At 37.1% G+C, this 14,674-nt stretch overlaps 1 protein-coding gene across 2 annotated transcripts in view; it reads left to right on the forward strand.

Annotated features, from left to right (window-relative positions):
* The window catches only part of VPS13B (vacuolar protein sorting 13 homolog B), an 864,307-nt gene that overhangs the window by 248,735 nt on the left and 600,898 nt on the right, over window positions 1–14,674 (forward strand). For both annotated transcript variants that reach the window (NM_152564.5, NM_017890.5), the window contains exons 18-19: window positions 12,190–12,324; window positions 13,073–13,246. In NM_152564.5, the coding sequence (NP_689777.3) occupies window positions 12,190–12,324; window positions 13,073–13,246 (309 nt within the window). The remainder of the gene's footprint in view (window positions 1–12,189; window positions 12,325–13,072; window positions 13,247–14,674) is intronic.

The raw sequence follows: 14,674 nt of genomic DNA on the forward strand, positions 1-14,674 counted from the left end.
TGTTTGTCAGTAAATGCTTGTTGACTCCTTTTGCTGGTGATTACAGCAATATGGACAGGGATTTCTGAGATGCAAGTGGGGGTAGAACGATGAAAATTAAGCTCTTACTGTACAGACTTTGTGTTTTGTTCCTTGTGAATATTTAAAGTTCAGTTCTGTCATTTAATGATCACTGTGAGTTGTACTTTTGAGATTACTTTTTGTTTCATGTTGTTTCAGTGGTTATATTTTATGTTCTGCTGAAAATAGTAAGTGCTTTTTACCTGGATATTTTGACTTAACCCTAGAATGGGTCACTACATCTGTTTTTTGCTGTTAAAATCATTATAATCAACAACAATAATAAAAGTACCTCTACCTTTTTAAGTGTGCTGTCTCTTAAAGTTTCTCTTTTCAGAGGGAGATTTTTACAGTCTTTGTCACCTATTGAATCTTAGAACTAACTAGCTTTCTTGGTACACCTGTCTTATTAGTATTTCCTAGCGAGCCACTTTTATTTAGGTTTTTCACTTTCTTCTTATGTGATAAATCTTCCCCTCATTTCACTTTCTCCCTTTATTCTTCCCCTGAAAGGATAATACTTACTTCTTACTATATAGTATGAAAGATTTGGAAGCTCTTGACTATCTCTTTAATGCATCTTTTAAAATAATTTACCTCTTTTCTCTTTCAGAAACCTTTATTATAGTTACACTCTCCTGTGATTTTGTTATTTCCCAGTATCAATATGGCTCCTGGCTGTTTGAATGTTTTGGATGGTCTGTTGTTGTTGTTGTTGTTGTTGTTGTTGTTGTTTCAAACAGGGTCTGGCTTTGTTGCTCAGGCAAGAGGGTAGTGGTATGACCATGACGCACTGAAGCCTCAAGCAATCCTCCCACCTCAGCCTCCCAAGTAGCTGGGACCACAGGTGTGTGTCACCATGCCTGGCTAATTTTTTATTTTTTTTTGTAGAGATGGGGTCCCATCATGTAGCCCAGACTTGTCTCAAACTCCTGAGCTCAAGTGATCATCCTGCCTTGGCCCCCCAAAGTGCTGGGATTATAGGCATGAGCTTCATCTGGCCAATCTTTTGTTTTATTTTATTAAATTATAGCTTTGCAAGGCTTGTAACAAAAAGAGCAGTCTTCTGGCACCCTGTCATCCTCACTGCTTTTTAGAGGCAATCATTTTTCAACTTATTCTTAGATATGTACCTCTAAATTTCTATATAGTAGTCTTTGTTGCAGTTTTCTTATTTTTGATGTTTTTCCATAGAGAAAGTCAGTGTTGGCCCTGAAAGCTAAATCATTCTCTGTGTTAGGCAGGAGTATGTAGATATTATCTGCATAGTTACTATTGAATATGAGGATATATTAGTTTTCTATTGCTGCTCTAACAAATTACCATAAACTTAGTCCCTTGAAGCAACACACATTTATTTTCTTGCAATTACGTAGTTTAGAAGACTGAAATGGGTCTCAGACTAAAATCAAGGTGTCAGTTGGGCTCCTTTTTACAGGCTCTAAGATAAAACCCCTTTCCCTGCTTTTTCTAGCTTTTAGAAATTTCCTGAATTCCTTGGCCTGTGACCCCCTTCCCCCATCTCTAAAGCCAGCAATGTTACATTTCCGTGAGTGTGCATCTGTCATCACATCTCTTTCTCTGACTCTTTTTTGCCTTCTCCTACTACTTTTAAGGATTCTTCTGATTACGTTGGGTTCACCTGAATAATCTAGGATCATCTCCCTATTTCAAGGTCAGCTGATTAGGAATCTGAATTTTCCTTTCTGTTGTAATATGACATGTTCACAGGTCCTGAGGTTTAGCATATGAACATCTTTGGGGGGGACCATTATTCTGTCTGTCATAGAGGATCTAGTTTTTAGGGCCAATACTCATAGCCTCTGTCTTTTATTCCTTTTTCCTAAATCTTTGAATATAATTATGTCACAGTTTTTGCTTAAATCTATACTCAGTATGAACGTATTATAAACATGTATGTATGAGTTAGAATATGCTACCAATTGCATTTATTTTTCTTATAAAACTTGTATTCTTGGAGTTAATAACTGTCTTGGAGTTAATAACTGTCTTTTTTTTTGTTATTGCTTGATTAGTGTTCTATGTACTTATTTTTAATTAATTCCCTCAAACTCTGACATAAACATATCTTCTCTCAATTCCTTCAGGTGTGTGAGATAATTACTTTTAATTTTTGGAGTCTTTTTTTTTTTAATGCTTTTTCCTCCTGTTTTTCTGTTTGTTCCCTAGGCCTACTGTAGAGATGTCTTGAAATTTCCTTTTATCATTGTCCTGGGATTTCCTTTTCTCCGGTTGGATCCCCTGTTTCTTAGACCACACATGTTACTCTTTCTTGATTTACTCTCTTTTTTAGGTGGAGCAAAATCCTCTAGTTACCTTCCTAGTGTAGGAAGTAAACTTTTTTCAGGTCTGACATGTCTGAATGAATCTTTATTTTGTCTTTATATGTAATTGATTGGACTGTATATAGATTTTTAGGGTGGGAGTGATTTTCCTACAGAAATCTGAAAGCATCACATTATTGTCTTCTTGCTTTTGGCATTTCTGTTGAGAAGTTTGATGCCATTCTAATTGTTTAACCTTTGTTTGTCACCTGTTTTTGTTTTTATATTTGTCTGTCTGTCTTATATCAGAAGTTTTTAGGAGCGTCTCTTTAGCCTTGATGTTCAGGTGGTATGAGTTTATGTGTGTGTTTTTTTCATTTGTTAATACTGGATACATAGTAAACACTTTTAATTTGCAACTCCTTTTCTACAGTTTTGGAAATGCTCTTGAACTATGTTTTTGATTATTTTCCCCATTTTCTTTTAATAGTTCCTTCTAGACCTTTTGGTTTTTAGATATTGGATTGCTTATGTTGATCTTTTCATTTTTCTTCCATTTTCATTCTCTTTGGATTTTTTGGTTTTAATTTATGGGAGATTTTCTCAACTTTATTTTCCAATCTATTTATTAATTTAAAGAGAACTAGCATCATGTTTTTAATTTCTATGTGCTTGTTTTTGTTGTTTGAATATTTTAAATAAATGTTCATTTCTTATTGCAGTATCTTCTGTACTCTTTGAGGATAGAAATCATTATTATTATTATTATTTGAAGTTTTCTTCTGCTCCTGGCTTTGTCTGTTTACCCCATGTTCCTTTTATTATGTTTTAAAATAATATCTGCCTGTCACATTTGTGATTTCCATCTAATATTTAACAATCCTTCATATTGCAGAATGAAGTACAAAATAACTGAAACCTCTGTGTGAGGTTGGAACTTGTTGATTGTAGGGGAATTGGACACAATTCATTTTTGGTTTGAGGATAATCGATTATCAGTGTCATGTTTCCTTTTTCTTGAGCTTGCTCGTTTCAGAGAGAAAGCCGTCCATTTCCTTCTTGAGGTTTCTAAGCCTGGTACTTAGTAAAGGAAGGGTAGATCTCATTATCCAGTATGTGTATGCCATATAGATTCTAAGATAATTCCCCCCTTTTAGCATATGGTTGTATCTCATATTCCTTAGTTGAGAGTCCTCCTGGTTTAACCTCTCCAAAGTAAACCCTTTAGTCTTCTGCCAGGTGAGTGTCAGGTAGTTACTGGGCTGCGTGGATTAAAGGAGAGGATCCTACATGGATTAAGAAAAACGATCTGTAGTCACTAGATAAAATTTTAGTCATGCCTCATCTTTTTAGCCTCATCTGCATCCCTGCCTTCAGAGCTTCCTGGCCTCTTTTTAATTCTTATATTTCTGGGGCTTATTGCAGGATCTATTTGCTTATTAGCTTAATTACCCACAGGCACTTTTCTCTGTTCTACTAAGGCTACTCATTGCTACTTGTTCATCAGATATCCATCTTTCAAAATTTAGATGATAGCTCTTGCTTGTTTGAGAGCGGCCTATTTGGCTCTTGTCTTTTTATTTTCGTTTCTTTGTTAGTTTAGCGCCTTAAAATAATTTCTTAATAGTCTTTTGGTGGACTTCAGTGGGGGAACAGAAGTAATCATATGGTTTGACTCCTTAATCTTTTACTTCCACAGAGATATACAGATCATTCTCATTAGTTCATCATTTAATATGTACATCATAACTACAGAAGTGATCATAAGCTGACTACTGAACACTAGAAAGTTGACACTGAGGGAGAGGTCTCAGTGAGTCTTAAAGAATTATAGCGGGCAAGAAGGTTGGTGGAAAAAGAATTAGGGTTAGCCTGGGCACCATAGTGAGACCCTGTCTCTACAAAAAAAAAACAGGTGTGATAGAGTACATGCCTGTAGTCCCAGCTACCCAGGAGGCTGAGATGGGAGGATCACTTGAGCCCAGGAGCTCGATATTACAGTGAGCTATGATTGCACTACTGCACTCCAGCCTGGGCAACAGAGTGAGACTCTGTCTCTTAAAAAAAAGAAAAAAAAATAGGTTTAATGGTGCACCACAGGACTAAGATTATGTGTTAGGAGTTGATATTTTTCAGAAAAGTACTAGGAGGATGATATGATTTGGCTGTGTCCCTGCACAGATCTCATCTTGATTTATAGTTCCCATAATTCCCACATGTCACGGGAGATACCTGGTGGGAGGTAATTGAATCATGGGGGGTGGTTACCCTCATGCTGTTCTTGTGGTAGTGAGTTCTAGAGGGACGTGATGGTAGGTAATTGAATCATGGAGGTGGTTACCTTCATGCTGTTCTTGTGATAGTGAGTGAGTTCTCAGGAGATCTGATAGTTTTATAAGCAGTTTTTCCCCCTTTGCTTAGCTCTTCTCCCTCCTGCTGCATTGTGAAGAGGATTAGTTTGTTTCCCCTTCTGTGATGGCCTTCCCAGCTATGTAGAACTGTGAGTCAATCAAACCTCTTTTCTTTATAAATTACCCAGTCTTGGGTATTTCTTCATAGCAGCATGAGAATGGACTCATACAGCAAATTGATACCAGTAGGGTAGGGTGCTGCTATAAGGATACCTGAAAATTTGGAAGCTACTTTGGAACTGGGTAACAGACAGAGATTGGAAAAGTTTAGAGGACTCAGAAGAAGACAGGAAAATGTGGGAAAGTTTGGAACTTCCTAGAGCTTTGGAAGGCTCACAGGACAGGAAGATCTGGGAAAGTTTGGAACTTCCTAGAGACTTGTTGAGTGGCTTTGACTAAAATGCTGACAGTGATATGGACAATGAAGTCTGGGTTGAGGTGGTCTCAGATGGAGATGAGGAACTTGTTGGGAACTGGAGAAAAGTTAACTCTTGCTGTGCTTTAGTAAAGAGACTGGTGGCTTTTTGCTCCTGCCCTGGAGATCTGTGGAACTTTGAACTTGAGAGAGATGATTTGGGGTATCTGGCAGAAGAAATTTCTAAGTGGCAAAGCATTCAAGAGTAGGCAGAACATAAAAGTTTGGAAAATATGCAGCCTGATTATGCGATAGAAAAGAAAAACCCGGCTGGACACGATGGCTCATGCCTGTATTCCCAGCACTTTGGGAGGCTGAGGTGGGAAGATCAAAAGATCAGGAGATCGAGACCATCCTGGCTAACATGGAGAAACCCTTCTCTACTAAAAATACAAAAATTAGTGGGGCATGGTAGCGCATGCCTATAATCCCAGCTACTTGGGAGGCTGAGGCAGGAGAATCGCTTGAACCAGGGGGTCTGAGGTTGCAGTGAGCTGAGATCTTGCCACTGCACTCCAGCCTGGCGACAGAGTGAGACTCCGTCAAAAAAAAAAAAGAAAAAAGAAAAAAGAAAAACCCATTTTCTGGGGAGAAAGTGAAGCTGGCCACAAAAATTTGCATAAGTAATGAGGAGCAGAATGTTAATCACCAAGACAATGGGGAAAATGTCTCCAGGGCATGTCAGAGACCTTCATGAGAGTCCTTCCCATCACAGGCCAGGAGGTCTAGGAGGGAAAAATGGTTTTGTGGGCTGGGTGCAGAGTCCAGCTCCCTTGCTGTGTGCAGCCTTAGTACTCTGTCCCCGCCATTCTAGTCATGGGCAAAAGGGGTCAAGGTAGAGCTCAGGATGTTGCTTCAGAGGGTGTAAGCCCCCAGCTTTGGGAGGTTCCACGTGGTATTGGTCCTGAGAGTACACAGAAGACAAAAATTGAGGTTTGGGAACCTCTGCTTAGATTTCAGAGGATGTGTGGAAATGCCTGGATGTCGACTCAGAAGTCTGCTACAGGGGCAGAGCCCTCATGGAGAACCTCTGTTAGGGCAGTGTGGAAGGGAAATGTGAGGCCAGAGCCCCCACACAGAGTCCCTACTGGGGCACTGCCTACTGGGCTGTGAGAAGAGGGCCACTGTCCTCCAGACCCCAGAATTGTAGATCCACTGATATCTTGCACCATGTGGCCGGAGAAGCTGCAGACAGTCAATGCCAGCCTGTGAAAGCAGCCAAGAGTGGGAGTTGTAACCTGCAAAGCCATAGGGACAGAGCTGCCCAAGGCTGTGGGAGCCCATCTCTTGCAACAGTGTGATCTGGATATGAGACATGGAGTAAAAGGAGATCATTTTGGAACTTTAAGATTTAATGACTGCCCTATTGGATTTTAGACTTCCATGGGCTGTAACTCCTTTGTTTTGGCCAATTTCTCCCATTTGGAATGGATGTATTTGCCCAGTGTCTGTACCCCCATTGTATCTAGGAAGTTACAGGCTCATAGGCAGGAGGAACTTGCTTTGTCTCAGATGAGACTTTGGACTTGGAGTTTTGAGTTAATGCTGAAATGAGTTAAGACTTTGGGGGAGTTTTGGAAGGGCATGAGTGTTTTGAAGCATGAGAACATGGGATTTTGGGGGGGCCAGGGTAGAAGGATATGGTTTGGCTGTGTCTCCACCCAAATCTCATCTTGAATTGTAGTTCCCATAATCCTCATGTGTTGTGGGAGGGACCCAGTGGGAGGTAGTTGGATCATGGAGGTGGTTACCCTCATGCTGTTCTTGTGATAGTGAGTGAGTTCTTAGGAGATCTGATGGTGTTATAAGGGGCTTTTCCCCCTTTGCTTGGCACTTCTCTCTCCTGCCACCTTGTGAAGAAGGACGTGTTTGCTTCCCTTCCATCATGATTGTAAGTTTCCTGAGCCTTCCCAGCCACATGGAACTGTGACTCAATTAAACCTCTTTCCTTTATAAATTACCCAGTCTCGAGTATTTCTTTATAGCAGCATGAGGATGGACTAATACAGAGGAGGAAAATAACAGTGCATTATTCTATATTTAATTTTATTATAAAAATTGGTAATTATTTTTAGATTATTGTATTGACTGTGCAGTATAACTTATATGTCAATTGCAGTACCTTAGGGATACCTCTTTCCTTCCTCTAGTGGACTATGACAACAGGATTTGAGTAAAGGAATAGGTGAATACTTTATAAAGCATTTTTTCAAATGTGGGTATTTTCACTATCTTTGTGATTGTCCTTTTGACTCATGTCAGCTTTCTTTACATCCTACAAAAGCATTATACTCTCTTTCTAAATTAAGTTCTGTATAAAGTTTAGCCAAGTTCTCAGAGTTAAGCACCTGGAACAATAACTACAGTTATTTTGGCCTCCTTAAGTAACAATAATAAATAGTGACTAGCCTTAAGCCACTGTATTACAAGGTAAAGAATGCTGCCTATATCTGAAGCCACATTTTAGCTTATTTGCTCTTTTTGTTTCACCACATTGCTTCCCTAATAGTAAATTTCTTTTCACAGTTTCTGAGAGAAGTATTCCTGTGAGTGGTGCCCTGAGTTGTATAATGTCAAGACTGTACTCCTTTCTGCCTTTCTATTGCTCACATTTGGGGCATTTTATAATTTCAGTTTGATGGTAGAGTGGAAAGAAACTACGATTATTTTTACTAGCTACTTTTCTCTATTTGATATCAATGTCTATCAAGAGATGAATATAACTTTTATATAAAAATCCCTTCCTTATAAAAATCTGAGCTTTTAGCACTAAAAACAAATTACTTTATAAAAAACTTTTCTTAAGGAGAAATTATGACATTATGTTCTTTTAGTTGTTAAACCAAATTTAAAAATACTTGAGAAATGTAAAGTTAAAAGTGTCAAACTGTATTCTTGATTGTAGTTGTCTAAATCAAAGTGCTTTATATAGGTATATAAGATATAAGAATCTTTTTTTTTTTTTTTTTTTTTTTTTTGAGACAGAGTCTTGCTCGTTGCCCAGACTGGAGTGCAGTGGTGTGATCTCGGCTCACTGCAACCTCTGCCTCCCAGGCTCAGGCAATTTTTGTGCCTCAGCCTCCTGATTAGCTGGAATTACAGGTGCTTGCCACCATGCTTGGCTAATTTTTATACTTTTAGTATAGATGTGGTTTCTCCACATTGGCCAGGCTGGTCTTAAACTCCTGACCTCAAGTGATCCTCCTGCCTTGGCCTCCCAAAGTGTTGGGATTACAGGCGTGAGCCACCGCGCCTGGCCAAGATTGTTATCAGAAGATGTTTCAGATAACTTATGATAAGAGTCTTATATATAACATGTATGAGATATTAAGAAATACTTATTATTTATGATTCAAGGTAGAGTATTAAGTTTTGGAAACTGTAAAAGAAGCCGTGTTATAAAATAATTCTAAAGAAACTCATTTGGTCTATCCATATTCTTTTGCTCTTGTATATACCGGAAACTAATTCAGATTTTTGGTTCTGAACACCATCAACGACTCTTTAGAGAATCTTTTAGTAGCTCTTGTTTGCTGACTACTATATAGGTTTCCTGTATTTCTTTTGAAAAAATTGGTATTGAATGAGAGTTTGACCCTTAAGGCTTGAGAGCCAGGGGAGGGAAGGCTATTATTAAGTTCTGTTTCTCTCTCATCATCTAACATAGTGATTGGAACAGGGTAAGTTATCTATTGATTATAGCTCCCTGCAACCACAGTAGATGTTAAATAGAGTAGCTCAGCATCCTTTGTTATAAAGAAAAATGAGATCCAGGCTTTGCCACTTTCTGACTTGGGCCTTTGCAAAATCCTTATTTCTCCAATCCTTTTTTAAATATATATATAGAATGAAAATAGTAATAGCTCCTAAGGATTATTTTGTGTTTGCCGAATAAATGAAATAAACTAGGCATCATGCATGGCACTCAGTAAGTGCTCAGTGCATGTTAAGTGCTATGATTACTATTATTGATACTACTGCTGCTGCTTTTATTGCTGCTGCTGCTGCTACCACTAACTACTACTACTACTACTACTACTACTACTACTACTACTACTACTACTACTACGATGATGATTGTATTAGCATTTTTGGCATCATTTAATTTTCTGAGATATTAAAATTTCCTGAGACATGAATTTTGAGAATCTGTTAAAAATGCTTTAAAATGCATAAATATACAGCATTTTAGATACCATTTCATAGGTGTAATGAACTCTTTAAAGTGTGCTCTAGACCATAGGTTTAGAACTCCTTCTCAGAGGATAATGGATACCACTTCAAATGGACACAATTCAGGTGGCAAATATTGGAAAATAGCAACCAATTAGTACACAATTATATAAAGACAAAATACAAATTAGCAAATTGATAGCTCCGAGTATTAGTCCGTTCGCATACTGCTGTAAAGAACTGCCTGAGACTGGGTAATTTAAAAAGGAAAGACACTTGATTGACTCACAGTTCCACATGGCTAGGGAGGGCTCAGGAAACTTACAATTATGGCAGAATGCGAAGGGGAAGCAAGTACCTTCTTCACATGGTGGCAGGAGAGAGAATTGCCAACGAATGAGGAAGTGCCATGCTTTAAAAACCGTTAGATCTTGTGAGAACTCCCTCACTATCATGAGAACAGCATGAGGGAAACTGCTCCCATAATCCAGTTACTTCCCACCTGGTTCTTCCCTTAAAACCTTGGGATTATAATTCAACATGGGGTTTGGGTGGGGACACAAAGCTAAACAATATCATAAGGGTTGATTTGGGACAAGGTATTTCTCAGGATAACATTCTCTAACCATTTGCAAATCATTTAATGTGCTTGTTAAATGCAGAATTCTGGGCCATAGCTCAGGATGACTGAATCATAATTTCTTTGAGAGATTATGAGTCTTCTTGAATACCCTAGAGTTTAAAGTCAAGGATTTTAGAATAATGTTTAATACAACTATCATAGAAAGTGTATGATCTTCTTAATTATTCATACATAGTTAAAGAAGCTTCAAAAATAAAGGATGGAATTATTTAACCAAAGTGTGGAAAGGGAAAAAGAAGCAAAATTACGTTGGTGGGTTTTCATGAATAATTGGCAAAATGAGTGATAAAGTCTTCTGTGATGGAATCAGATTGTGTTAAACACCCTAGATCTTTCACATAGCAACTGTTGTCCTCTGGGCAAAAATTAGTTACCTTCCCTAATCTATTGCATCCTCAATCTGTAAAGTGAAGATAATAATAATATCTATAATATAGGCCTGTTGTAAGGACTGAATGAGATAATGTACATAACACATACTTAAGTCCTCAGTAAATGTTAATTGATTAGAGTTAATTGTCATTATCATCATCATCATCACTATCATCACCATTTTAGTGGTGGTTGTCCATACTGTCAGTATAATATTCTTAAGGTTTCTTTGCCTGTATAATTCTCACCTACCCTTAAGGATCAAAATGAGGTTCTCCCTTTTGATTAAGTTTTCCAACCATTTATTTATGGGAATTATTACCTTCTGTGCTTTTATATCCTTTAGCAAGTAGTACATAATAAAGATGTTAATATCTACTTTTTGGTTAATTTATAAAAATTTATTTGCTTCCTTTTTATCTATACAGAGCATGTGAATTTTATTTATAAGCTATTGTATTTTAACACAGGAATTATTTGAGCTACAGGTTGAGTGACCCCCTACTCTGAAAATTCAAAATCTGAAATGTTCTAAAATCTGAAACTTTTTGAGAGCCAATATTGACTCTCAAAGGAAATGTTCATTGGAGCACTTTTGATTTTTGATTTTCAGAATGGGGATGCTCTACTGTTAAGTATATAATACAAATATTCCAAAATTCAGCAAAATCCAAAATTCAGGACACTTCTGCTCCCAAGTATTTTGGATAAGGGATCCTCAACCTGTATTTTGTTTCTGTTTCCTCATTTCACCTGACCAAAATATTTCAGAGAATTTGTTTACTCAGGTAGTTTTTTTTTTTTTTTTTTGAGATGGAGTCTCTCTCTGTCGCTAGGCTGGAGTGCAGTGGTGCGACCTCTGCTCACTGCAACCTCTGCCTCCCGGGTTCAGGTGATTCTCCTGCCTCAGCCTCCCGAGCAGCTCGGACCACAGGCGCATGCCACCACGCCCAGCTAATTTTTGTACTTTTTTTTTTTTTAGTAGAGATGGGGTTTCACCATGTTGACCAGGATGGTCTCGATCTCTTGACCTCGTGATCCGCTTGCCTAGGCCTGCCAAAGTGCTGGGATTACAGGCGTGAGTCACCGCGCCCAGCCTTGCTTGGGTAGTTTTATGTTTAAATGTCTCCACCTAGGCCGGGCCTGGTGGTGCACGCCTGTAATCCTAGCACTTTGGAAGGCTGAGTTGGGTGGATCACCTGAGGTCAGGAGTTCAAGACCAGCCTGGCCAACATGCTGAAACCGCGTCTCTACTAAAAATACAAAAATTAGCCAGGCTGGTGGAATGCGCCCGTAATCCCAACTACTAGGGAGTCTGAGGAAGGAGAATTGCTTGAACCCGGGAGGCAGAGCTTGCAGAGCTTGCAGTGAGCTGAGATTGCACCACTGCACTCCAGCCTGGGTGACAGAGTGAGACTCTGTCTCAAAAAAAAATAAAAAATAAAAAATAAAGTCTTCGCCTAAATTAAACTTGACTTTATAAGTTAAATTTGTTTCAAAAAGAAAAATCTTATTGTTTTCTAAAACCAAATATGATTTTTAAAATTATTTCTTGTTTTTTTTAAAAAGTATTTGTGCATTTACTTTTATTTCTTGAGCTTGACTAATCAAGAATTGAATGCATAAGTATAGTTATGAGAGTTCAGCCCATTTATTTTAAATTTGCATCCTTTCACCTCTGAAATACTAAACTATGAAACCTAACACAAATACTGTAAGAACATCTGAGGTAGACAGTTAGAGTATAATTAAGTTTAAATGCCTTGGTGAAGGAATATAAAAATTATTTAAATTCAATCGGCTAGTACATTTGCAGTTTTCTTTTATTAGGTGTGAAATCTAAGAATCCCCTGCCAACTCTTGAGGGCTCAATCCAGAATGTTGAATTGAAGTACTGCAGCACATCATTGGTCAAATGTGCCTCTGGGACCATGGGATCAATAAAAATTTGTGCCAAAGCCCCAGGTATGTGCAGCTGGACCGTGTAAAACTTTATTGCCTGTATAGGAGAATTGGCCTTGCGTTTTACAAGGAGCGTTACTGAAACAAGAATTTACTCACTGTTGCTATGAATCAGACGTTTTAAATTTTTACTTAGAAATTTTTCTAATTGTGCCAGGATGGTACTTCTTGACTTTAACAAATTTTTATTTAGGGAAAAATACTTAGTTTTATGAATGGTTATGAGGGAGAAAAATTAAAGGAATGTTTATTATACTTTTTGGGGGAATAGGAGGTGTATATATATGTATATAATATGACACTTAAAATTAAATTAAAAAGTTGTTATTGTAATATAATTAAATAGGAGACCCAGTTGTTTTTAAATTTTGGTTGTAAATGACTTTACCTTCCTACCAATATTTTATTTCATAATATATTTTAAAAACCATTTGTGATTTTTTTCAGTGCAAACTAAATTTAAGGTAAGTTTATAAAAGTCCAGATTTCATTTAATTTTTAGAAGACAGTGTGTTTAGTTGTTTCCTTTTATAAGCTTTTCTGGACATGTTCTGCATTCATTAGCAAATATGAAAACTTAAGAGTTAAAAATGCTTTACATTTTATGAGACTCAGTATAATTAAATGTATAGCTAATATTATCAAATAAAGTTGAAATGTTATATTATGGTGTTAGTATATTTTAAAATCAAACATTCTCAAGTGACTCATGTTTTATTTTTATTATTGTTTTATAAATATTTCTTTTCAGTTGATAGTGGAAAAGAGAAGTTGATTCCCTTGCTTCAGGGTCCTTCTGACACTAAAGACCTTCATAGCACCAAGTGGCTCAATGAGAGTAGAAAGCCAGAGTCTCTCTTAGCTCCAGATTTGATGGCCTTCACAATCCAAGTTCCACAATATATTGACTACTGCCACAATTCCGGTAAGTACAAACCTATCATTATTCCCTTGTTTTGCTTTTTTTTTTTTTTTTTTCCAGAAAGGCTTTTAAAATTGGTATATATTTTTTTTTTTTTAGGTATTTTTGTCAATTGGCTTACTCTGCAGTTGTGCTTTTTCAAAATTCAAATGAAGAATTTTTGTATCACTTTTGTTAATTGAAATGTGTTTATAAATAATGATTTTATTTATATGAGAGAATTTAGCTGTGTGTATAGTGGTTAACTTCAGATTCGTATATATAAGGAACAACTGAGTTTTAAAATATAGCATATCATTATAATGCATATTTTCTTGAGATAGTAGCACTTTGTAACCCAAGTTTGTCATGTGTAAATTGGTGTTTTTACCTTCTGTAATTTTTTAGGAATGAAAAGATTTGATGGTAGAACTGAGAAGAAAATCTCAGAGGTCATTATCTCATTTCTTAGAGTTTTATTTTTTTCTGGTAGCACTTTGAATAGAATCGATTTCATTTTATTCAACACTGTAATAGCAGAGCTATACCTCTCATGTTGAGAGAAGGTATCAGAAGGATCAATGAAGACTGAGAAAAGAAAAATGTATGATAGGTAGAGATCACTATCAGCCATGAATTCACTTAGCCAGTATGTGGTTAGCAAAGTCAGGGTGTTCAGTCAATGAAGCTAGCAACGTGATAGTAATATAGACATTTGTTTTAAAAGATACGTGGTCCACATTTTCTCTCTAGAAGTAACTGGCCAGTGAGTAGTTTCAAATAGCTGCTTTAGAGTAGAGCTTCATTAACATTATTCAACAAGTACTGTAGCTTATAGAAAGTATGTTCAGCACTAGTATGTTCAAGTGGAAACTATGAAAAGATTTGCAACTAACTGAGCAGAGACTATGTAGAGGTAAATATTGAATAAAGCAGTGCACAAATGAATATATACAGGGACACAAAACATTTGAAAGATGAGTATATTATGATAATATTTGCAGTTGAGTGGTATCCACATTGAAAACTGGAAATTAGTATTTGAAAGGTGAGTCTAAGGATGCTGTCTGTCAGCATGCTTCAAAGGACAGCACACCTCAAAAATAAGATTTCAGCCTGGTAAGAATGGGTACAGAACCATAAAGAATGAATGATCAGAGGATGGCTCCAGATCCAAAGTAGGGTTGTCCCTATAGAGAAAAGATTTTACCAATCTTTTAAGACAGGGATTGGTAAATACTTTCTTAAAGGGCCTGACAGCTAATATTTTAGGGTTTATGGCCCATACAGTCTCTGTCTCAACTGTTTCTGCTGTTTTAGCACAAAAATAGCTACAGACAAAACTTAAATGAATGGACGTGACTGTGTTTCAATAAAGCTTTATTTATAAAAGCAGGAAGTGGGCCAGATTTGGCCTATGTGGTTTGTCTAACATGGTTATAAGAAGAAGGA

The sequence above is a fragment of the Homo sapiens genome, chromosome 8 (genome assembly GCF_000001405.40).
Source record: "Homo sapiens chromosome 8, GRCh38.p14 Primary Assembly".
In the NCBI taxonomy this organism is placed as follows: domain Eukaryota; kingdom Metazoa; phylum Chordata; class Mammalia; order Primates; family Hominidae; genus Homo; species Homo sapiens.